Source organism: Homo sapiens, chromosome 3 (assembly GCF_000001405.40).
Source record: "Homo sapiens chromosome 3, GRCh38.p14 Primary Assembly".
In the NCBI taxonomy this organism is placed as follows: domain Eukaryota; kingdom Metazoa; phylum Chordata; class Mammalia; order Primates; family Hominidae; genus Homo; species Homo sapiens.
This window is the reverse complement of record NC_000003.12, coordinates 168,061,124-168,084,802: the sequence shown is the minus strand read 5'-3', so window position 1 is coordinate 168,084,802 and position 23,679 is coordinate 168,061,124. Positions and strand designations below refer to the sequence as shown.

The 23,679-nt window shown below is 36.1% G+C and overlaps 1 protein-coding gene across 5 annotated transcripts in view, besides 2 other annotated features; it reads left to right on the top strand.

Moving 5' to 3' along the window:
* The window catches only part of GOLIM4 (golgi integral membrane protein 4), an 87,236-nt gene that overhangs the window by 11,122 nt on the left and 52,435 nt on the right, over window positions 1-23,679 (top strand). The window lies entirely within an intron of this gene.
* Window positions 2,304-2,917: an enhancer, noted in NCBI's record as "NANOG hESC enhancer chr3:167799674-167800287 (GRCh37/hg19 assembly coordinates)". NCBI's record gives its function as "activates a minimal SCP1, AML or CMV promoter by ChIP-STARR-seq in naive H9 embryonic stem cells {active_cell/tissue: H9 hESC(naive)}" and the evidence as "EXISTENCE:reporter gene assay evidence [ECO:0000049][PMID:30033119]".
* Window positions 23,029-23,078: an enhancer, noted in NCBI's record as "active region_20773". NCBI's record gives its function as "activates an Ori minimal core promoter by ATAC-STARR-seq in GM12878 lymphoblastoid cells {active_cell/tissue: GM12878}" and the evidence as "EXISTENCE:reporter gene assay evidence [ECO:0000049][PMID:35858748]".

The window sequence follows — 23,679 nt, the reverse complement described above, 5'->3', positions numbered from 1 at the left end:
TATGTAGAGTGTGTTCGAGGCACATTCTCACTAACACTTTTCTTAAGGTCCACTACACAGTTCCAAAGCTACTTCCACCTTTAGATTTTTATGACAGCACCCCATTTCAAAATCTATATTAGTTATCTTGTTGCATAGCAAATTATCTCAAAACTTAACTGTTGTAGAACAATGAACATTATCTCACAACTTCTGTGGGAAAGGAATCTGGGCTTAACTGGGTGACTCTGCCATGGTCACTCACAAGGTTGCAGTCAAGCTGCTGATCAGTGTTTAGTCATTTTAAAACTTGATTGGGATTAAAGGATCTACTTCAAAATTCACTCAGGTGGTTGTTGATAGGCCTTAGAAAATCCATTTCCAATCACACTCATCTGGGGCCTGCCACAGGAATACGTCACGATATCATAACTGGTTACCCCCAGGGCAAGTGTATTAGTCTGTTCTCACATTGCTAGAAAGAACTACCTGAGACTGGCTGGTTTATATAGAAAATAGGCTTAGTTGACTCACAATTCCACAGGCTATATAGGAAGCATGGCTGGGAGGCCTCAGGAAACTTACAATGATGGCAGAGGGCAAAGGGGAAGCAAGCATGTCTTACTCTGGTGGAGCAGGAGAGAGAGGGTGAAGGGGGAGGTGCCATACACCTTTAAACCATCAGTTCTTGTGAGAACTCAGTCACTATCATGAGAACAGCAAGGGGGAAATCCACCCCGATGATCCAGTCACCTCCCACCAGGCCTCTCCTGCAACATTGGGAATTACAACTCAGAGCCAAACCATATCAGCAAGAGATCCAAGAGATTGATAAACAGTGTAAGCACTGAAGATAAAAGTGAAGGTGTTTTAATAACCTAATCTTGGAAGTGGTATCTCATCACTTCTGCCATATTATCTTCATTAGAATTGAATCTCTACATTCAGCACATGCTGAATTCAGCACAAGGGAAGGGCTTAGTGAGATTGTGAATTACAGAAAGTGGAGATCATTGGGGGCAGCCTTCGTAGCAGCCTACCATAAGGTGAGTATAGTTGTTTGAGTATTATTATTGTCATTGTTGGCAACATCATTATTCCCAAAGTTGTCATAAGCTAACATTCATTGAGCACTTGCTGGGTACCAACCACTGTGCTAAATCATTTTTCTTGCATTATCTGACTCAATACTTTTGTAAAAATGTTTTACTACATTCTAAAATGTGACTTACCATTAAATTGGAAATATATTAGCAAGAAGTGGCATTTAAAATTATAGCTTCACAGGGAAATTACCTGGTATTTAAACCGTTTGACCTGGGAAAATTAAAAATCCACGTGACTCTTTGAATAAACCCAGTCAGTAGTTCATTAAGTAAAATACCCAAGTGGAAGACATCATGTCCTTGGGAAGTTTCAAAACCCATTGATAATATGCGAACTGTTTCTTTGGCAAGTAGATATGAATGCACTGCAGCATGTTCTTTTGACTTTATAGACTGCAGTCCTTGGTGAAGTTTTATTTGATAGGAGATTTTTTTGATACTTTTACTGGTCTTAGTAAGATATTTTTGATTTAAAGAAAGCATTAATTGTAACTGGTAATTTCAACTTGTTCATTCACTCCTACTTTGAAAGTCATTTAAAAATTGCAATATATGAGTATTCTTTTGTGATATTAATAAAGTCAAAAGTAGAATATAAGAATACGTTATGAAAAGGTCATTAAGTGTGTTCTGAACAGTTATAATTCCACATTCATAGTATGTCTTCATTCACCTAAACATAGTTTAGTTATTACAAATACATGAGAAAAATATTCTTTTTATTTGACTTCCATTGTACTTTCCAAAACATATTTCTATAAGAGATTGGATTGGGAAGTGGATAGATTATATTTTGTCAAAATGTGTTTGAGGCTGTATTTCATTCAAGAATTAAAGATTGTTCTGCTCTTGTCAGTGAGAAGTTGTTGTTGAATTTCTGTAGAACCAGTGTTTCTCTTCCTGCCCCATTGCTGTGTGTATGGGTGCCAGGTTTCTGCCATGATGTTCACTGGCATTCTAAGTTGCTGTGAACTCCTGCTCTTGGTGGTATTCATATTGACACCGTCACCCTCTCTGTAACATGTATTCTCTTCTCTACTTTCTCTTTGACAAAACCAAAATGAGGAAAATTCCCTGCATGTTCTATAATGTATTGATAAAGTGCCTTGTCGTTCTTAGAGAGACTTACATACTGTTCTTTCTCTCGTATCTTTTGCACTGAGTTCGAGCAGGGTCCATGTGAACTGAGCCTAGAGTATGCTCCCTTATGTTGAAACTGTCCAAGGGAGCAGAAGCTACTAGTTACCTAGAATGGTAGTATTTGTGAGTACATATGTGGCCCTTTATAGGGAGACTCTAAGATGTCTTCATCTAAGGGTCTCACAGTAACAATATTTTGAGGAGGGGCTGAGCTTTAAAGAAAGTCGGCTTTGTCTTTACTGTTGGCTTCCAGCTGTTCTTAGAACTGCCTCCTATCCAGCACCAGCTCATTGCCTAAGACCACACTGAATGTTTTTCCTGTGATCCTGTCTTCCTTAAGGGTAGCATTTTCAAGTTGGGATCCTTGGCGGGGGTGGTTCATGAACGTCCTGAAGATATATGTCAATTTTGTATATGTGTCTTTTTCCAAGACAGAAGCCATAGCGTTAATCAGTTCCTCAAAACATCATTGACCTGAAAAAGGTTAAGAACCACTGCTTTAGGGCAAATTCCTCCTGAGGTCTTTTCAAGTCCATCTTGGAATTTGACCTCCCTTAGTCCCACTCCATGAACCCCCTCTAGACATGACTGTAAGTGGCAGAGTTTGTAATGGAGTAGTCAGTGTGTTTGCTGCTGTTCCCCTTAAGCCCTGACTATTAACCCTCTTACCCTCCCATCTCCAAATTAAAGAATAATTCTGATTGGAGACTTAAATGGCTTTTAATAAATTGCATTCCTAGAATCCATTAGTAATTTCTTAGTAAAATAAAAAGGTCTTGCAATTACATGAGAAATGTGTACTTTCTGAATTGCCTTGTATTCATGATATTATTTGATGCTGAAAACAACCCTGTGTTACAGAGTAATAACTCTGTGTTATTACCATTATACTGTGTTATTACCATTTTAAATTTAAGGAAGCAGAAGTCACACAGCAAGACAGTGACACATGTGGGATTAATGCTCAGTTTACTTGAATCCTAACTCCGGGCTCTTACTCACACAATCCTGTTTCCAAGGCTTCCTTATCCTGGAGCTAAACATAGGTTTAACAGGACTTACAAAACTGAGTTTCTGACTTTGCCACCTCTGAGGGCACTCTACCTTTTTTTAGATTCTGCCAAACAGCTAAGAATATTCCCAGTCCATCTGCTACCCCTTACCCCCTTCCCAACCCTGCCTACTATGTCCATGGAAGATGCTGATGGCTGCTCATGCTACTAATTTCTGCTTCACCTCTGCAGCTTTCCGCTGTCAGTCTCACATGTGCTGGAGGATCTAGGCAGGCTCCATAAGGATTGGGTCCCAGGGTGACAAGGGTGATAGTCACTGGGGAGAATTCAGCTTCACTACCCTTTCTCTTTGTTAATATCTCTGGCACATTGTCCTTGATCCAGAATTAGGGGATTGGGCTGTCCCTTCCCTTAGTATGATTTCTTTTCAGACTTGTCTGCATTCTGGGGTGTAAGTAGGACTTCATCTCATGCTGGAATCCTGCTAACATTCACCACAGGCTGCTACCTGGTAGCATCTTTAGCTTGTCTTGACTTCACAGTGGGGTGGTTTGATGCTCACTACTCAACTGAGTCTCCAGCTGTGTGTTTTAGATTCCAGGTGTCAAAGTCAAATCACTCCTATAAATAAATCAGAGCTTGGTAAAAGCAGTAAAGAAAGTTCTTAGAGCCCAGGTTGCACATACCAGCATATAGGTATGTTTTGGTTTAGCCCACACAGTGCTTTGAAAAATTTCACAGTAGTTTATGTATGGAAAAAGAAAAATATTTTATATAAACATCTAGATTTCCAACGTTGTGGGGAAAGTCCTATTGCAACACTGGACCTGCATTTCTGTGTCAGGTGAGTGACTTGCTGCCTATTTGGAATGGGGCGTGTGGGCTTCAGTTGGCCAAAACTCCCACTGCCATTGATTTGGTCATTTATGTTAATGGCCTGGCCTATAGAAGCACCTAAGTTTGAAATTCTTTATCTTGACTAACATTTTTAGTTTATCAATGAAGAAAGTAAGCCTTAAAGAGATGGAATGACTTGGCGACTGCGCTGTCTAATACGGTGGCCACTAGGGTCCTGTGTAGAAATGTGGCTCCCAGTGTGACTGAGGAGCTGAATCTTAAATTTTATTTAATTTTCATGAATTTAAATATCAATTTTAAAACTATAGCATCAGGAAGTATTTTTCTGTTAAACACAACTCTCATTTTAATTGTGTTGTGTCTTACAAGATATTATTGATATATTACAGTGCACAATTACTTTCTACTTTTTAAAATGGGGCTACCAGATATTTAAGAGTTACAGACATTTCAGAGTGCGTTTCTGTTGGACAGCAGTGACCTGACAGAAGTCTCCCAGCTTGTTAATGGCAGGTCTGGAATTTGTCAGAAGATCTCCGCAGCTCTAATCATATTTTTTTTCTCCATTATTAAAATGTTACCCAACTGTTCTTCTAATTCTTGAAACTTTTTGTTATTATATACTTCCATAGGAATTAGTTTTTCCTCATTTTTACGTAGCACATGACAGAAAAGAGATTTTATGTAAAGGAAAATTTAGCATCATGTATTAGCAACAATAATACAAAGGTAATTTTAGAGATTAATTTTAAACTTAATATTCATGACAAAGATTTTTTTTTACTTTAAGTGACTGACAATTTTCTCTGAAATATCTATTTAAGAAAACAATTTCAGCATGTTCAAAATGACATTGTGTTTGATTTTGGAGCAGGTATATATTAAAATATAGTGTAAAATTAATGATATATTTTATTGTAGCTTTAAAACTAGACAGAAATTACTATTACATTTAATATATTGAGTTCTTATATTTTATACCTAAGAAATCTTTCCCTTTTTTAAATTTTGTATTTTTAGTTATCTAAATGATAAGATAAAAAGATTAAAACCCTGAACAAAGTATTGGGCATGTGTATAGCGCAACCAAATATAACAATTTAGATAAAATAAAATTGTTTTTGACATTTTACTTATTCAACTTTGAATTGTAACTTACATACATAAAAGTGCACAAATTATAAGCAAACAGCTTGATGAGACTTCACAAACACAACTGTATAACCAGCAATGAGATCAAAACACATGGCAAGACCAGCACCCCAGAAGCTCTCTTGCACTCATCTCATTCAAAAATTGTCTTCCAACCTCAAAGAATAAGCACCATGGTTTAGTTTCACCTGTTTTTGTACTTTGTGTAAATAAAATCAAACAATATATGCTCTTGTGTCTGGCTTCTTTTGCTTAACATTGTGAGATCCATCCAGACTGTTACATGTAGTTGTAGATTGCTCATTTCTATTACTATGTTATTACCATTGTGTAAGCCTATCAAAACTTACCCAATTTACTGCTGATGGATATTTGGATATTGATTGCTGCCACTATGAATGCTCTAGTTCTTTTAACTCTTTTTTTTAAGGGACTAGCAGCTTTTTGATATGATTGATGACTATTTTAAGCTAATGCAACATAAGGACTATTTTGAGTGCATTTACAAAATTTATTATTGCTCCTTTCCTAGTGTTACTTAATATCCTCATACAACCCAACTATAATTCCTGATCTGTTAGTACAAATTTTAAAATATGACCAAAAGTAAAAACAACTGAAACTTAAATGTTCAAAACACAAGCATTTGTAGCATTGTTAAGCCAGGGGATAAGCTGCACAGAGGACTGCTTAGACGTATAAGCTGGCTTGTCTGTTCTTTGTTAACCATTATTCATGCTTACTGGGCATGTGCTTTTTCTCTTTCTATATTCTAAAGGGGTCATTTTAAAAATGATTATTTATTTATAAAAATACAATAACAACAGACCCACCAATTACCTTTTGTTAAATCAGTTTCCTGAAACAAGTTAACAAAACCCTGGTTTAGAAATGCTACCTCTGGAAAAATGCTGGTTGAGAAATTCTACCACTGGAAAAATTCAGAATATAACTGAGCAGTTGAGAGGAATATTACAGAGTTAATGTAAATATCTAGTGAGTCGTTAAACTAGCTGTAAAAGTGTTTCTAAGTTAAAATTTTATGATTTTTAAATTCTGATGTGCTAGCTGAAGTGAACAGTGATGAGAATAAGAATTACATATAGTGACTCATATTCAGCAATTTATTACATACATTGTTTTCTCAGTAGTCTTGCTTTATTATAGATAAATGGCAAAAGGGCAGTGGTGATCTTTGATGTATAAAAATGTAATTGATTTTACTTTTATTACTTGTGATAATTTAAAGTTTGCTACCATACAAATTATGATAGAAAAAATTAACAAAATATTTGTGTAAACAAAAATATGTCCTATTTAATTTTTTATTAAAATAACAATGTTCTAAATTACTTAAGAACATAAAAAGGAAAGGTCTATTCATTATATTCAAATAATTAACAGGGGATTCCTATCTAGTAATTGAGGGAGACCCTAAAAATATTGGTATTCAAAAGTAGTAAGTTGTACCTAGTGACATTTTTTAAATTCAAGATTCATACTGGTTTCACCTCCCAATACTAGTTATACTTGTGAAGTTTGGAGGTAAACTGCTCAAAAATAAATAAATAAATAAATAAATATATCTAGAGTATATCATACATTTTAGGGAGGTGTGTTACATTCAGTTCATTTGAAAGACTGTAAATTGTAGAAACATTTAAGGATACCAAATTATAAGTTGAGTTTAAGTGTAGCTTATTCTGTATATTATAGTTTATTTTTGGAAATAAGGCCTTAGCAATAGAATGAATTTCTTTCTGTGACAACTTAAATCTTTATTAAAAAAATTCTCATTCTGTTTTCTGAAATACAATATAGCCAAAGAAAATTATTATTAGTTGAGGAGAGGTAAATTTAAAAGGTTTAGTTTGATGCAACTCGTGTTACATGAGTAGCCATATAAAGATATAGAGTCAATATATTAGTTTTTGTTGTGTGTCAATTTCAGAATCTTAGTGGCCTACAACAACAAACTTGGAATAATGAATATAATTGTGTTCACAGGTCTGCAGTTTGGCTGTGGTTTGGTGATGGTGGGCAGGGCTTGGCTGGGGCTGATTTGCCTGGGCCTGGACACCAGGTCTTTGATCAGTTTCAGGTCAGCTCCACATGCCTCCATTTTACAACCTGGGCTGAAAGGATTGCATTACCTGGAGATGCTCTTCAGATGGTGGGTCATAGGAACCACAAAAGGGCAAGTGTTAACACTTGGGAACAGGCACACCATTATTTCTGTCCACATTCCATTGGCCAAACGTTAATGGGATGGTGAAGAATGCTCTGCCCCTCCGAGTGGTAAGCACTGCAGAATGCATGGCAGAATGTGGATGTATCATTACAGTAGTGAGGGATGAAGAATTTGGCATGATGAGTTCATCTACCACAGTCAACTTCAAAATAGGTACAGTGTGAAATAAAAGAAGAAAACTTCCTTATTTGAAGAATCATTTTATAGTGATACAGACTTTTAAAATATTAACATCAACATAATTTTAGTCACATTTGTGTACTTTTAGGCGGAGGGTATGAGTTAATAATGAATAAGCACTTAGCATAAATTCTAAACAAAAGGCAATAAGTAAATCTGTCCTTTAATTCAGCAAACTTCCTGAAGCACCTAGTGTCCATAACTTTCTGGGATAATATAAATTTGGTTATTCAAGTGCTGCTATCAAGTAATAGAATGTAAATAAAGTAGTCTGTTAAAAACTTTCATACTGGATTTTTATGACTATTCTTTCAGTGACATAGAACAAGTAGAACATTTTTACTTAAGTATTTTGACATTTAATATGTTGATTTTAGCAGCAAAAGATGATATGATTAACCATTTTATTGATTGATTGATTGATTGATTGATTGAGATGGAGTCTCACTCTGTTGCCCAGGCTGGAGTGTAGTGGTGCAATCTTGGCTCACTGCAACCTCTGCCTCCCAGGTTCAAGCAATTCTTCTGCCTCAGCCTCCTGAGTAGCTGGGACTACAGGTGTGCGCCACGACGCCCAGCTAATTTTGTATTTTTAGTAGAGACGGAGTTTCACCATGTTGGCCAGGATGGTCTCAATCTCTTGACCTCGTGATCCTCCCGCCTTGGCCTCCCAAAGTGCTGGGATTACAGGCGTGAGCCACCATGCCCGGCCAGGATTTATTTTTTTAGGTACTAATTTATGTGGATTAAAAACAAAGAAACAAAACAAACAAACAAAAAACAGAACAAGTTAGAGCATGGCCCCACAGATAGGCTTGAGCATTTTAAATTTTATGTAAACTTCTGGTGAACATATGTAATGCTTTACTTTTAAAAAATTACCATATTCACTTAGATTCTTTTATTTAAAAATTAAGTGAAAAATATGTCAGTAATATTTAATGATTTAGCACCTACTGTGGCAACTATAAATGTTCATACCCAAGACTTTGGGAAAAGGTTGTGGAAAATTTATAAAGGCAGATGTCGTCTCTCTGTTTTTAAGAATGTATCTGATTGTAAGCATTTCTTTTAAACACTCTTTTCAAGTTGCACATTCATTAATTTCTTCCATTTAATGTGAGGTTTGTGTGTGTATATATGTATGTATGTGTATATTATTATATATGTATGTTTGTGTATATGTGAGAGTGAGCAAGTGACTAGTCACTTATTATATTGGCCTTTAGAAGATCACCAAATAGCAATTTGTTTATATTTCATCTTTTAAAATTTGATTCTCTATGTCCCCTTAAGAATGTCAGAAACTGAAAACTGGTCTTTAGGTCCACCAAACATAGACTTGATTTGTCAGTGGCTGTTTCCCATGAGTCGTCTTGACATGCTTTTTATGCATATGATAGAAGAAGCAATGAGAAAAGCAGGTGTGTTTTGACATGATCTTTTTGTGAACAGGGCTTGCTCAGAATATTTCCAGAGTAGGAACTTGTAGATTCTTGTTAAGGCCTGATAAATGAAGCTCTAAAGGCTCTATAAAACTAGTGAATGCTGTAATCCCAGCACTTTGGGAGGCCGAGGCAGGCGGATCACGAGGTCAGGAGATCGAGACCATCCCGGCTAAAACGGTGAAACCCCGTCTCTACTAAAAATACAAAAAAAATTAGCCGGGCGTAGTGGCGGGTGCCTGTAGTCCCAGCTACTTGGGAGGCTGAGGCAGGAGAATGGCGTGAACCCGGGAGGCGGAGCTTGCAGTGAGCCGAGATCCCGCCACTGCACTCCAGCCTGGGCGACAGAGCGAGACTCCGTCTCAAAAAAAAAAAAAAAAAAAAAAAAAAAACTAGTGAATGTCCGCCAATTACCAGTGTATTTGTTTTCTAACTTAAAGAAATACTTCTTGTCATTAACTTTGTCCCTTTAGAAATATGTTTATGTGGAAAGAATATTAGTTTTATTTTTGTTTTTTCTCATCTCTGTTTTATTAATTTTTTTTTTAACTTCACTGGTTGATTGCTTAAGCACTTACTTTAACAGTCTGGTTGGCATCAATCAGAACAAAAGGAACATTTCTACTGACTACTTAATTCTTTCATAAAAGTCCTCCTTTCTAGGCTCCACAGCATTTTAATGACAAGAGTTATAATTTTTAACTATAACACCTACAAATTATTTCTTGAATTTTGATTTATGTCTCACTAGATCACATCTAATTTCCTCTCTGTCTGGGACTATTCCAGTGGTAACTGGGTCACTCAAAAAACAGAACCTATTGGCATGATGTGGGCCACATGGATAAGTTTTTCATATAATTGTGTTTACTGTTTTCCAAATACATATCTAGGATCTTCCCAAGTTGTAATATTTCTAATGTCCTTGTCTGCGTTACTAGATATGACAGCTATATCTCTTGGCTTCACTAATGTAGTAGGTTGTCACTTGGTTTTCCTGCTTTCACCCCAATCTTCCACATAGTAGCCCAGTAGGTTACAAAGATGATTCTTTGTAACATATAAATTAAGTAATGTTACTTCCCATCTCTCTTTGAAGGAAATTTTAACTCTTCTCTTACTACTTTGTTATACTTCTGTAACAAGATTGCTGTGATGTGGGCTTTTTAGCTGTTCTCAAGCTCACGCCTTTCTCATGATCTTTATAACTGCCCTTATTTTTGTCTGGAATGTACTTCCTTGATGTCTGTTCATCACTGGTTCCTCTTTATTCAGGCCTCTGCTCAGATTTCAACTATTTAGAAAGGCTTTTTCCTGAAAAGTTGACTAGTTATTTGTCATGTAACAAATAACTCCAAAAACCTAGCACCTTAAATCAACAAACATAAACACTTCATATTTCACACAGTTTCCTGAGAGTCATGAATCCAGAAGCAGCTTATCTGGATGGTTCTAGTCCTAGGTTTCTCAGGAAGTTGTAATCAAGCTGCAGTCTCCAGGGAGGATCCACTCCCAAGCTCATTCACGTGGCTGTTCCTCACTGTTGTCCAGATACCTGTTTCTCTCTGTGTGCGCCCCTCCTCGGGTTGCCTACATGTCCTCATAACATGGCAGCTGGCTTCCCACAGAATGAGGAATCCCAGACAGGAGGAGCCCAACATGGAAGCCACAGACTTTTTTATAACCTCATCTTGGTGGTGACATAACACCACTTGGGACATAGGCTGTTAGTCAGCCAGCCCCATTATGGTACCATGTAGAAGGGGAGTACACAGGATGTGAGTACCAGGTGCTAGAGGTCACTGGGGACAATCTGGAAGGTTAGCTCCTACAGTAGCCCTGCCATCCCTGGAGATCTCACAGCTGCTTTTAAGAAGCCGATGCCTTCTATGTTTTCACCTCTGAACAATCTATAGAAGTTATACCTCTTCCTTTGTGTATAAGAAAATACCCTATATAAGCAGAAAAATGATAATAGTCCATCCACCCAAGTACTGTCTATCCCATTATCCTACATTATTTTCATATTTGCACTTATTAGCTGAAATCTCATTTTGTATTTCCTTGTTTATTATATATCTTGTTTGTCTGTCTTCCACCATGCGATTGTAAGGACCTTTAATACAAAAACTGGTATTTCATGTCCATGCCCACTATTCTAATCCTTGAACTTAAAACAGTGCCTGAAATATAGTAGGTAATCAATTATTTGATAAATGGATAAAATAGTTGGCCTTTTCAAGCCCCAGAAGTTTTATTTTAGACATTTTATATGGCTGTGTTTCCACATGCATTCCTGTATTCTAAAAGAGTTTACTAAACATGAATGTTATTACTTTAACTCATATTTACTGGTTTATCTTATATAGAAAGGCACTATGCTAGATACTCTGAAGTTACAAACACAAAGAAGACACGGTCCCTACCGTCAAGAAGTCCTATTGGTAAGGAATGGCAGACTATGATACGGATCATATGAGAACAAGTAAAATTGCAAGGCTGGGGAAGTGTGAAACTTGGAGAAGGCTACACAGTAGAATGCCTTCTTGATATTTTAGGGTTAGTGCAGTTATTATTTTGTCCTGGAATACTGTGTTCCTTTTAACATCCTCAGAATATAAGAAAGAAGGCAACCATATTTTTTTAGCAACAACAAAAAAATTAGGAAGCCTGGTCTACGTAAGTATTATAGAAATGGTAAATTATTTAATCATATATTTTTAACAACCACCTCACTGAAATGACTAAAAATACATGAAACTGTGTTTCATTACATATGATCATCATATATAGAGCAGTTTGCTCATACATTAAATAGCTCTAGATCAGTGTGTCTTTAGAATAAGTTCTCTGAGTAGTGATTGTTTTTTATAGTATTATTTGCTGTTGTTAGCTTCTTACTGTAATAATTCTGCCTTCCTCTCATTAAAGTTGCTTCATCTAATTTTTCTGTGGACTTGAAAGCCAAATAACCAACCTGGATAAAATTATATATAAAAAGAATATAAAAGACACCCACCCCCTCCAAAAAGTTTTCTTTTCAATTAAGTTTTAGGGAGGTTTTATTTTTAGTCTAGCTATTTATGGCCCATTTTTACATCTGTCTGATATTCCCCTATGCTTTTAACAACTTTTCTTAACAGAGTGTTATTTTACTTAAGTTTTCTGTTGAACTTTTTGCCTCTGTTCAATATACTGTAGTTGGCTTTGGAGTCAGAATGCCTCATAGCTCTGCCAAGTTTTAGTTTTATGTCCTCAGGCAAGTTGTTGAATCTTTCAGAACCTTTTTTTTTTTTTTTTTAAATCACATCTTCTTTACAAAGTTGGTATACAAAGTCAATGAATATGTTAAAGGCTAGGATGTTACTTGGCAGTCTGTTTCCTTCCCCAGTCATTCACCAGGTTGAATTGACTTCCCACCCCATCACTGAGTGACCAGTGACAAATGCCTTGGTGAACAGCATCCGTAATGAATACCAGTTTCATAGAAATGTCACAGTATATCTCCTGCAATGTAGGGCTGGCCCAAGACCACTCCTGCAGGCACTTTTGTTTCCTCAGATCATCAGTGCAATTTGGGGCGTGATCCACGTTGAGTTTCACCACAGAGTGGTACCAGAATTTGGCCCTATGGGAAATCCAGAGTCCAAGACTGGCCATAAAATTAAACTTTTTCTCTAGGTATCCTTCCGAGATTTGACGCCCAGAAGCAGATTTAAGTGCTATGTTGTATTTCACTCCCTGCCTGGAGTTCACAACAGGGAAACTCCGTCACAGGCGTTTCAGCCTTTGAAAAGAGTAAGATGATGGGAGTTTCATAGGGGGATGTATCAGTTACTGTGGATACTTAAAGTTAACAAAACATTCAGAGTAAGGAATTTTTTAATTAAAGTAAGTTCTACAGCATCCATGAATTACCTACATTTTTCCACTCCCTCACATACTTTCTCAAGTTACCCACCCTTGTGACTCATTCAGTAGCAAAATCAGTGAAGTCGGCATTCTCTTTTAGTCATCAAGCAAAAATGGGTCATCTCCCTGGCCTACTAGATTGTCTGGTTTGCCCCAGAAAATCTCTTTTCAGTTTGGCCCTCTTTCTGTTGCCATGTTTCCTTGCTTTTCCTGGAGGTAGGGGGGCGCCGGGGAAAGTGGGGGACAGTTTCCACCTATCATCAAGAACTTGCCATGACAGCCAGCTTCTTCACTCCAGGTTGCTCTCTTCTTAATGTTATATTTATTGTATTCATTCATCATTCCTGCCTAGAGAGCAGTGCTAAGATTCTGTCCTTGTCTTCTTTTAAATTCAGCTGAAATTCATTATCTGTTATGTGCCATGCACTGAATTAGGCCCTTAATTTAACATTATGGATTTAAAAAAATGAGGCTAAGAAAGGTTATGTGTCCAAAGTGACAAGGTAGTAAAAGATAGAAGGAACTTGAATGCAAATCTGTTGACTCAAAATTCAGTTTTCTCTCTACTTTAGCATGACTCCCCTTTCCTCCATGCATGCCAAGAGGTTAAAAATCACTGACGATGGGATGCGAGCTGGAAGCCTTCATTAAGTCATGCTTGAGCCTGTGCCACTGATATCCTCCCTCCCAGGCTCAGGTGACTGCTGTAATCAGTGTGCCCCAGGTACTATTCTCTGGGTCCAGTTTGACTGTGAATTTCCAGCCACTGGCTTGTAGAATAGACAAAAAAGCTATCACCTTTGAATTAAAAAGGACTAATCTTAGAATAGATTTAGCAAGTTAGAGTAGAAAACCCCCACTAACAAAGAAGAGCGAACTTATTATTAAAGGTATAGAAGTTGAGGAACTCACCTCTGACTTGTTTTTTAAGATATGGATTTGATCTTTAATCACAAAGGCATTACATTGAATAAATAACCTTTCCCTTTCAAGCTAAAAAGCAACAACCCTCTTCTAGAAAGTTCACAGAATTTAATATTTCTTTCTTTTTTGTTTGAACTTCTTTAATAACCTTAATGAAAATTAAGGTAGTTTCCATGGGTTGAAACCATTGGCAATTATTGATTAATTGTATTATTGGAAGAGAATAGTAAAAACAATTCATTTGGGTTTTATAATGTATAATTTTACTTTACCTTTGAGTCTGTGTTTCACCAGATAGAAAATTACTTTAGAGACTTTAATGATGCCACAGTGTGAACACCCATCTCAGGAAGATGAAGAAACTATGTATTTTCCCAATTTGGAATGGTGTAGACCTGAGTTCAGGTCTATAAAATTTGGATTTTTTGTTTGTTTGTTTGTTTTGTTTTTGAGACGGAGTCTCGCTCTGTTGCCCAGGCTGGAGTGCAGTGGTGCAATCTCGGCTTACTGCAACCTCTGCCTCCCGGGTTCAAGTGATTCTCCTGCCTTAGCCTCCTGAGTAGCTAGGACTACAGGTGCGTGCCACCACGCCAGTCTAATTTTTTGTATTTGTAGTAGAAATGGGGTTTCACCATGTTAGCCAGGATGGTCTCCATCTCCTGACCTCGTGATCCGCCCACCTAGGCCTCCCAAAGTGCTGGGATTACAGGCATGAGCCACTGCACCAGGCCTGGATTTTATAGTTAAATACCTGGATGACCTTTGGTAAGTTACCTAGCTACTTGGCCTTTGTCGTTGCCTAGTAAAGTAAGGATTATGTTTCTGGAGTTATGTGTGTAATGGTAAGTTACAACTTCTAGGAAAACAAGTTAGAGTATTTACCTTACTAATGGTGAATTAGTAGCACCATCTTTCTATACAAAGACTTCATAGTTGAAAATTAACTATATTAATGATTTTATGTAACACTAAGGAAATAAAAATAGAAGTGACATAAATCACTAATGATCCGCTTTTAAGATTTCCTTTAAGGAAATTTAGTTTAGCATATTACAAGATATTTTTAACAGGCATTTTTATTTCTCTTATGCAGTATATTTTGAATGCTCTTTGAAAGGCTGCTGTTTCCATAGTTAATTCATTTTATTCAAAGACAGAACATCAAAGCAGCAAAACTCAATTAAGTGGAATAGTCAGGAAATGAAATATTCTGGTGAATTTAGGTGGCAATGTTAAATAGAAAGCTTATTACCTTCTCTACCCATATGGCTTCTGGTCTCTGTATTTAAATCATTCCACTGAATTTGAGTTTTTATTGAAATCTCTGCTAATTTTTTTCCTAGAAAAATGAAGGAAAATCAATTAAAGAAACTTCTTGTTTCAAATTATATTATTGAAAAGCATTTCAAACTGTATTAATTGCTTGACTTCATTGGTAAAAATGTTCATCATTGGAAACATCAGTTCTCTTCCAGTACTGGCAATACAGATCAGATAGGAAGATTCAACTAAATGTGTATTGTCCCTTGGACCTAGCAATGTTCCGGCCATATGAGTACATTTTTATCTTTCGCTTTCTTCCAAAAATTGAGTGTGAAATAAAACTCCATTTATTTTAAATGAGCATCATTTAGTGAAAAGAAAATCAGCATATTAATTGATATGATATAAACTTAAAAAAATAGTTTGTGTAGCAATTTTAAAAGTGCAGGCCGGGCATGGTGGCTCACACCTGTAATCCCAGCAGTTTGAGAGGCCGAGGTGAGCAGATCACCATCAGGATTTCAAGACCAGCCTAGCCAACATGGTGAAACCCCATCTCTACTAATAATACAAAAATTAGTCGGACATGGTGGCATTCTCCTGTAATCCCAGCTACTCAGGAGGCTGAGGCAGGAGAATCGCTTGAACCCGGCAGGTAGAGGTTGCGGTGAGCCGAGATCGTGCCATTGAGCTTCAGCCTGGGCAACAAGAGTGAAACTCTGTCTCAAAAAAAAAAAAAAAATAAAATAAAATAAAATAAATTAAAGTGCAGAAAAGTTTTAAGAGGTAAAATAAGGCATTCACAATTGACAAAGGAATCTCTATAAAATTTTAGTGTTTATTCTTTATTTACAGAATCAATGGCAAATGGGTATGCAACTCTTTTTTAAAATCTAAGTTGTTTTGTTTTGCTTTTTATGTATTCTTATTTCCATTTTAAATTTTAGAGAAATAAGAAAAAAATAGATGAACAGATATGAAACTTCCCTTTTTAGTATTAAAAAAAAACTATCCTTAAGTTAACATTGCGGTATCTTACTGGATATGCAGAAAAAAAGAACAAATTGTTTTTAAACATATTTTTATCCTGCAAGAAGTTGACGTATAAACAGTAAGTTGCATACCTGTTTTTTAAAATTCAGAAAAAAATTGCTTTAAATAATGTGACTATTCAGAAGCCACATTTTAAGAGATTTTTTTTTTAATTTTATTTTCTTACACAAAGTGTTGAATGAGCAGTATTTGTCACAGTGATTTTTGTGTTGGTTTGCTTTCAGTTATTTTCGTCACAATAGGGAATGGAAGCCTAACAGAAAAATGCATCCATGAATTTTCAATATTTGTTTTATCTTACATAGATTACTTACTAATCTATGTTTTGTTGAAATCTTGTGAAAGTTATTTTAATTCTGTAGTGCAGTAGTATCACATATATATTTTCATCAAATATATAGTGATATTGTATACATTAATTTAAATTCAGAATGAGAAATTAAGCTCCTAGCATTTTTTAATTTTTGAGTTCTGAAGTTAAAAATGTGTAAAATTATTTTGTATATTCCTAGTGAAACACCAGCCCAGAAAATATTAATATACTCTGGTTATATTTTGTTTCTGTTCAGATTCATTAAAAAAAACTCTGAAAGAAAAGATGATGGAAATACTTTCTGCCCCACACAATAAATATCAGGTATATTTTGCATATCGATAATACAGGGTTGTTGTTCTTTCTGCCTTATGGGAATTTTTAATGAATCCTGGCCTTGTTTTTATTTTTCGAATGGCTGTGTTGTATTCTCTGATGCATTTAATATGGGGATGATTTGCTGGCTTCTGTCCGTACTTTGGCAACTACGTTCATTCATTTATTCATTCATTCATTTATATTTCCTATAATTACTTTTATTAACTCTACTATAACATTTAGTGTGTTTCAGTTTAGAAAAATATTGATTTTTAAATAAACAATGAAAAACAAAATACACAGAATAAAATACGCCGTTCTATCTCATGTATTTTTTTTTGTAAAAAGATAGTTTTGTGTGTGTGTGTGTTTTTTTTTTTTTAATTAAAGGCAACTACTTTTAGATCAGAAGAGTTTTTGTTGGTTTTTGCTCTTTTTGTATTGTGGTGTGTGTGTGTGCGTGTGTGTTTGGTGGCCCCTGAGGAAAAGCTAATAACCTCTCTATTTTTTGTTTGCCTACATATACTGCTAATTATGTATCCATTTAGATAGCTGCTTAATGTGTATTCCTAAGTTTGTTGCTTTGAGTCAAGGGCTAGTATTCTTCATTCATAAATTTGTGGTATGGAAGAGATGGACTAGTTGTAAGTATGGTAGTTTTTATTCCATCATTGAATAACTAATAAAGTAGTCACAAAATTATGCTCATTAGGAGTGGCATTTAATAGTGGGCACTTTAAATTTTTAAACAAAAAATTTACCCAGTGTGTTTTCAAGATTCTAAAGCAAAAGTGAAAGAACTAAGCATGAATACTGACTAAAAACTGTCTTAATTATCTTAGTTACTTTTATTAATGCAGGTTTATGGAGGGTAGGAGGATAGGTTGTATAAAGGATTTAAAAGTAAATTTCAAGATACTAGTGTGTTTATCCTACTGTCTTGAATCACACTCACAAGAACTACCATGTTAAGTGATTTATTTTTCTTATGAAATAACTCTTCAGAAATTCAGAACATTGAAAGAAGACCATACTAAATCACCAAAAAAGTTTAATGTTTTGTAAGTTAATGCATTTTAAGCATTGTGCATGTAAGATAAACTAAGGCTACAAAAAGGTCACTAGATCTTCTAATGAATAGATACTAGTAATTTTAAATCAGCACCTCACTTGTTCACCGACAAAGTACATGTGAATTGGATGTATAAGTTATTTGTATATAAACTGTAAAGGACTATAAAAGTATAGTTTGTTATGATTGATACTAAAGTAGGTATTAAAGGACACTTTTTTTCTGAATATATGAACACTCATCTACAAGTATACTTTACCTCATAGTGACAGGTTATCTGCAAGGTGATAAAAGATAGAACCAAGATCTTTAGTGGAATAACTGTTCTCCCTGAGAAGTTCTTATTTACATTTTGTCAATGAAAAAATAACAGCAAATAAAGGTAAAATGTCTACTATTCTAATGGGTCTTACTTGAAAAGGATAGTTATAGTTTTATTCTCTATTGCTTGAAAATGAATATGTAATATAATAATAAACATCAGCTACTCATGTTGAAATTACTATGAACACTGAATTATTGGTGGAATCTGGAACTAGTGAGGTTATTCTGTGCCTGAACTTCCTGTTTTCACCTACTTCCCAATTACTTGCAGCTGTCAAAATAATTTTAATCATTTTCAGATACTTTGCAGAAAAAAAAAAAGATCTTAAGCCCTTCGGCCCTAATCAAGGGCCATAAGTCCTTCAGCTAAAAAGATGTTACCCCTTCTCTTCTTGTCTTCTTTTGTATCCCTGCTGAGTCCTTCTGTCTAGTCAGGTCAGTATTCTTTCTGAACATCACTATTATGTTCTAAGATCTTAAACATTTATTCAGGTCACTCACAATTCTGATTCTGTATCCTTGTCTTCTAAACCAGATCAGAGAATCAGAGGATGTTAGAGCAGAAAGAGGCTTTAGAAATCAGTTGATAAGCTCTTTTATTTTACTAATGATGAAATATTAGTTATGAAATACTTTTCAGATTAAAAATTAAACCAGATCTCTGGACCCCTTGCCTCTGGCCAGTTTTTCTATGACATGTTGTTTACAGAAACATGCAAGCAGACATGCAGAGCTCTGCTGAGTCCATGGAGGAACCTAAAGGTTGGATTCTTCCACCTCTGTGTCCAGGTTGTCCACCAAATATGCTTGTTTATTTCCCAGTATGTGGAAGAGTTATTATGGGAAAAGTGAATGGAAAGTCATATACAAGACAAGGAAAACCAAGCAAGCATCTCATTAGACCCATTTGCAATTAGAGTGGCAGTTGTATGCATTTACTGCCTTATTATTTATTCAGTGTCAGAAAAGGATAATGTGTTCGCATTTTACACAGTCATACATACAGAAAAAGAGAGCCTCACTGTAGGACACCTTAAGCATGGGGCAGGGTCTTAGTTTATGTATAATATTTTTCAAGTTATTGAAAATCATAGGTGACAGATAAAAAATAGTCTTCTTTTGCCAAAAGGCTTTTCCTGAAAAATCAGAACCTTTCTTAGCATTGTGCTAAACTGAATCTTTCCTCTCTTACTTAAACTTAAGTCACTGAGAGTATTCAAAACCAATTTAAAATGAATTATGTATAGCTGATGCCACTACTCTTCTCCTTTACTATAAACATGAATATTTAAAATCACAGAATTTTAACATCAGGAGGACATTGGTGACTTAACTCTACAACAGCTTCATTTTATTACTGAGGAAAAAGAAGGTGAAGTTTCTTAGTTGTGAACAGTGAATTTGTTAGTGTCAGGCAGCCAGGAGGTCAGGGTTCTTAGGCCTGTGTTATTTTCCCCAAACTACTTGAAAAATCCTCATTAAATTATCTCTTGGCACCATCTGTTTCTCTTTGTCTTTTTTTCTCTCCTTTTTTTTTTTCCCTTCTGGGATAAACCATCTCAGTCCTATTTAAGTTATATTCGGTAGCTTTAATCTAAATTCTATGAATAAGGTTGAAAAGAAAAATCTGGACGTCTAATTAGAATACTTATATGTATCATCAAAGATTTCTTTTTCTTTGTTTTCTTTAGCATCCAGTCATGCACCTTTCCACAGATCTGGACTGTTTATTGATTTTACTGTGCTTCTTTAAAAATTTCTCATGAAGCCAGGCATGGATTTTGCCTGTAGTCCCAGCGACTCAGGAGGGCGAGGTGGGAGGATCATTTCAGGCCAGGAGTTTGAGACCAGCCTGGGCAACGTAGCGAGACCCTGTCTCTTAAAAAAAAAAAAAAAATCCCCAAGTATTTTGTTAAACAGTACAGATGTATTCTCTGATTTTCATGTAAAAACTTAGAGGTTGCCAATGAATTCCTATGCATATATTGGTGTAAGTCAGGCTATCAAATTCAACTCTTCTTATAACGGACTCAAAAGTTTATCTTGGTATGTAACCATTAACACTTTTCTTATGTAAATTTCATGAAATAATTGATAGGAAAAGTACACTGTTAATATGTGCTGTCTTGGATTTATTTGTTTGTGTAATTCAGTCATTTAACAAACATTCAGCAGGTAACCACATTGTACCAGACTCGAGATGACAATTTGCAGATCATAAAGAAGCTGAATTTCTCATAAGTAGCCCCACAGTGTAGTAGTGGGAGTGACAAATCTCTACCTAAAGTATTATAAAAAGACTGTGGACAGAGATATGCCTATGGCCTGTGGGAGAATATCCCATAGGATATTTAAACTGGACATCCAGGGACATCCACACTGCCTGGGGAAGCCTCCTGGGACCATGGTGAAGGCAAATGCCAATCTCACCTTTACCATCTTGGGTGATATTATGATGCAGGGTGGTATAGTGGAAGTATCTCAAGGCCTGCTTGCCAGAATAAACTTTCACAAAATCCTCCAAATCCTCTTTATGTCACATCATCCTCAGAAGTATCCTGCTATCCACCTAAAACCCACAGTCCCATAAATACTATGCCGCTTCTTTTTTTTTCCTTCAACTTTTAGGCTCGGGGGTACATGTGCAGGATGTGCAGGTTTGTTACATGGGTAAACGTGTGCCATGGTGGTTTGCTGCACAGATCAACTCATCACCTGGGCATTAAGTCCAGTATCCATTAGCTATGCTTCCTGATGCTCTCCCACCCCCCTCCCCCACTCCCCTGCCCTTTCTTAAAGGATGAAGAAAGGATAACTCTTATATTTGACCTTTGAGGGTCTCACCCAGTGATCTCAGCCTTCTACTCTTGAAGGCTTTTACATGCTATGCAGTGATAGTGATTAAAATATTCCCTCTTCCCCCAAATCAGGCAATGCCCAATATCTCAGTGGGGAAGATACCCTATTCAGAGTCACATGTATTCTTCATAGCACATCAGGAAAATATTCATTTTCTGTAGCCAGTATGAAGAAAGGAAGTATATGGGGAAATCTCTGTACCTTTCTTTCAATTTTGCTATGAACCTAAAAGTGCTATTAAAAAAATAAAATCTTAAAAAAAGTATACTTTCACTTTCATCCCAAAGGAGAGCTTGAAGTATCTGAAAGTGAAAAGAAAGTGTAGGATATCACTAAGAATTCTAGTCAAACTGGGGAAGCAGATTTTAGATGTCTAGTGTTGACCTTATCCCCAGTGTTGACTTTGTCTTCATGGTCTTTAGGAGTAACATCTTTTTAAGTTTCCTCAGTGGCAAATGTAAGAAGTTAAGTAGTTTGGTGGTGTTGGGAAATACAATTCTAGGAAGAGTTAGAGGTGGCAGTGGTGGGTGGGCAGGGGTTATTTTGGAGGAGAACTTGTGTTAGGCCTTAGACATGCAGGTGGTGGTGGAAGCAGGATTCCAGCTGTGACCTCTAGCTACCAGCAACTTGCTTCTTAGATTAAATGATCTAAGCTTCTGTTTTGATCTTGATAACTCTATCAAGCATTAGACATATCTAAAATGGAAGGCACGGTGGACTCTCACTCCCTCCGCCTTGGAGCTGGATCCACATTTTATACAGTAGCTAAGCCGGAAATACCGGCACCATCCTTAGAGCTACTTTCATAGTACACTTTGAATCAATCTCTCAGGCATTTTGATTCTATTTCCTAAATATAGTTTGCTTCAGTGCATTCCTCGCCCTCTGTCAATGATTACCACGTGTGCCTGAATATGAGGTGAGGTTCCCCTTTTCCTGCAAAATTACTCCTCAGAGAAGAGGGAGTCTTGAGGTGGAGTCAATGCAAAGCCTCTGCTATTACTGGGTGCTTTCTCCAAGGCTTTATTTTAAATAGAGCATTTGTGAGGAAGACACATTAGCCCCACATGACCCTGTTTAATGCGGTTAGGTATTATGGAGGGCACCTGACAAAATCTTTTTAAAAAAGGGTATGGCAGCTTTGAAAATAGTGTAGGAATTTATTCTTAGGAATGTGTCCTCACAGTTGTAAATGCAAAGTATCTTTATAAACAAACCTTTCCACTAAAAAAAAAAAAAGCCCCAATACATTCAAATTAGGGATATAGAAAGCATGAATGTGTTCCTACATTACAAATGGAAATGGCAACTATCCTGATTTTTACCAAATCCTATCTGAGGCTTAGGACAAGATTTCCAGTGATGGCACCAGACAGAGATTCCACTAATGCTTTACCTCGGGTGATGATGGCTATGCTTGGGAAAACTGTCAGAAGCTAAAAACCTAACTTGAGTTGACACAGACACAGATGTCAGACATGCATGTGTAGAGTTTGGACCAAAGTGTTTTGGGAGATGTGGATGTAGAAAAAAAGTGACATATGTAAATTTCTTGCATATTTCACTATTTTATTTATGTAACTAAAAATAACAAATGCATGATGTGATATAAACAGGTAGCTCTTTCATACAGTCTGTAAATTTTTGGTAAATGTTATTGAATTATACATTCACAAAAGTACACGAATCATAAGTAAACAGCTCAATGAATTTTCACAAAGCAAACAGTGTAGCCAGCTCTCAGACCAAGAATCAGAACACCACCAGCATGAGAATCAGAACATCACTGGCACTCAAAAATGCTCCCTCTTACTCTCTTCCAGTTATTGCCCGACCGCTGCCCCCATGTGCACAGTGTGAATAGTATCTTGTCTTCTATCATCAGAGATTAGTTTCACTCGTGCCTGTTTTTGAACTTTTTATAAATGTAATCATTCAGTAAGTACCACTTTGCTGTCTGGCTCCTTTCCTCATATTATGTTTGTGAAATTCATCTATGAATTATTTAGTTTGTTCACATTGCTGAATGATATTTTGCATTTTGAACAACCACAGCTTATCCGTTCTACTATGATAGATGTGGTTTCAGTTTGGGGCTGTTATGAGTAATGCTGCAATTAAAACTCTCCTATATGACTTTTGGTGAATAAATGTCAAGTACTGGGTTGGGTACATACCTAGGAGTGGGATTTATAGGTCTTAGGATATGCCTTCATCAGCTTTAGTTAACACTATCAGTTTTCTAAAATGGTTGTACCTTTTTCACATCCATTAGCAAAGTAGAAGAGTTCCTTCCTCCACATTCTTGCCAACTATTGGTATTTTGTGTCTTTTTCTATATTAGCTGTTTTGATGGGAGAATGGTAGTACTGCACTATGATTATAATTTGCATTTCCCTGATAACTAATTTAGTTGAGCACTTTTTCATATATTTCGTGGCCAGTAGGATATATTTAAGTGGCTGTTCCTATTCTTTGCCCCATTTTTTTTTTTTGCTTCTCTAAAATCTTGTATAT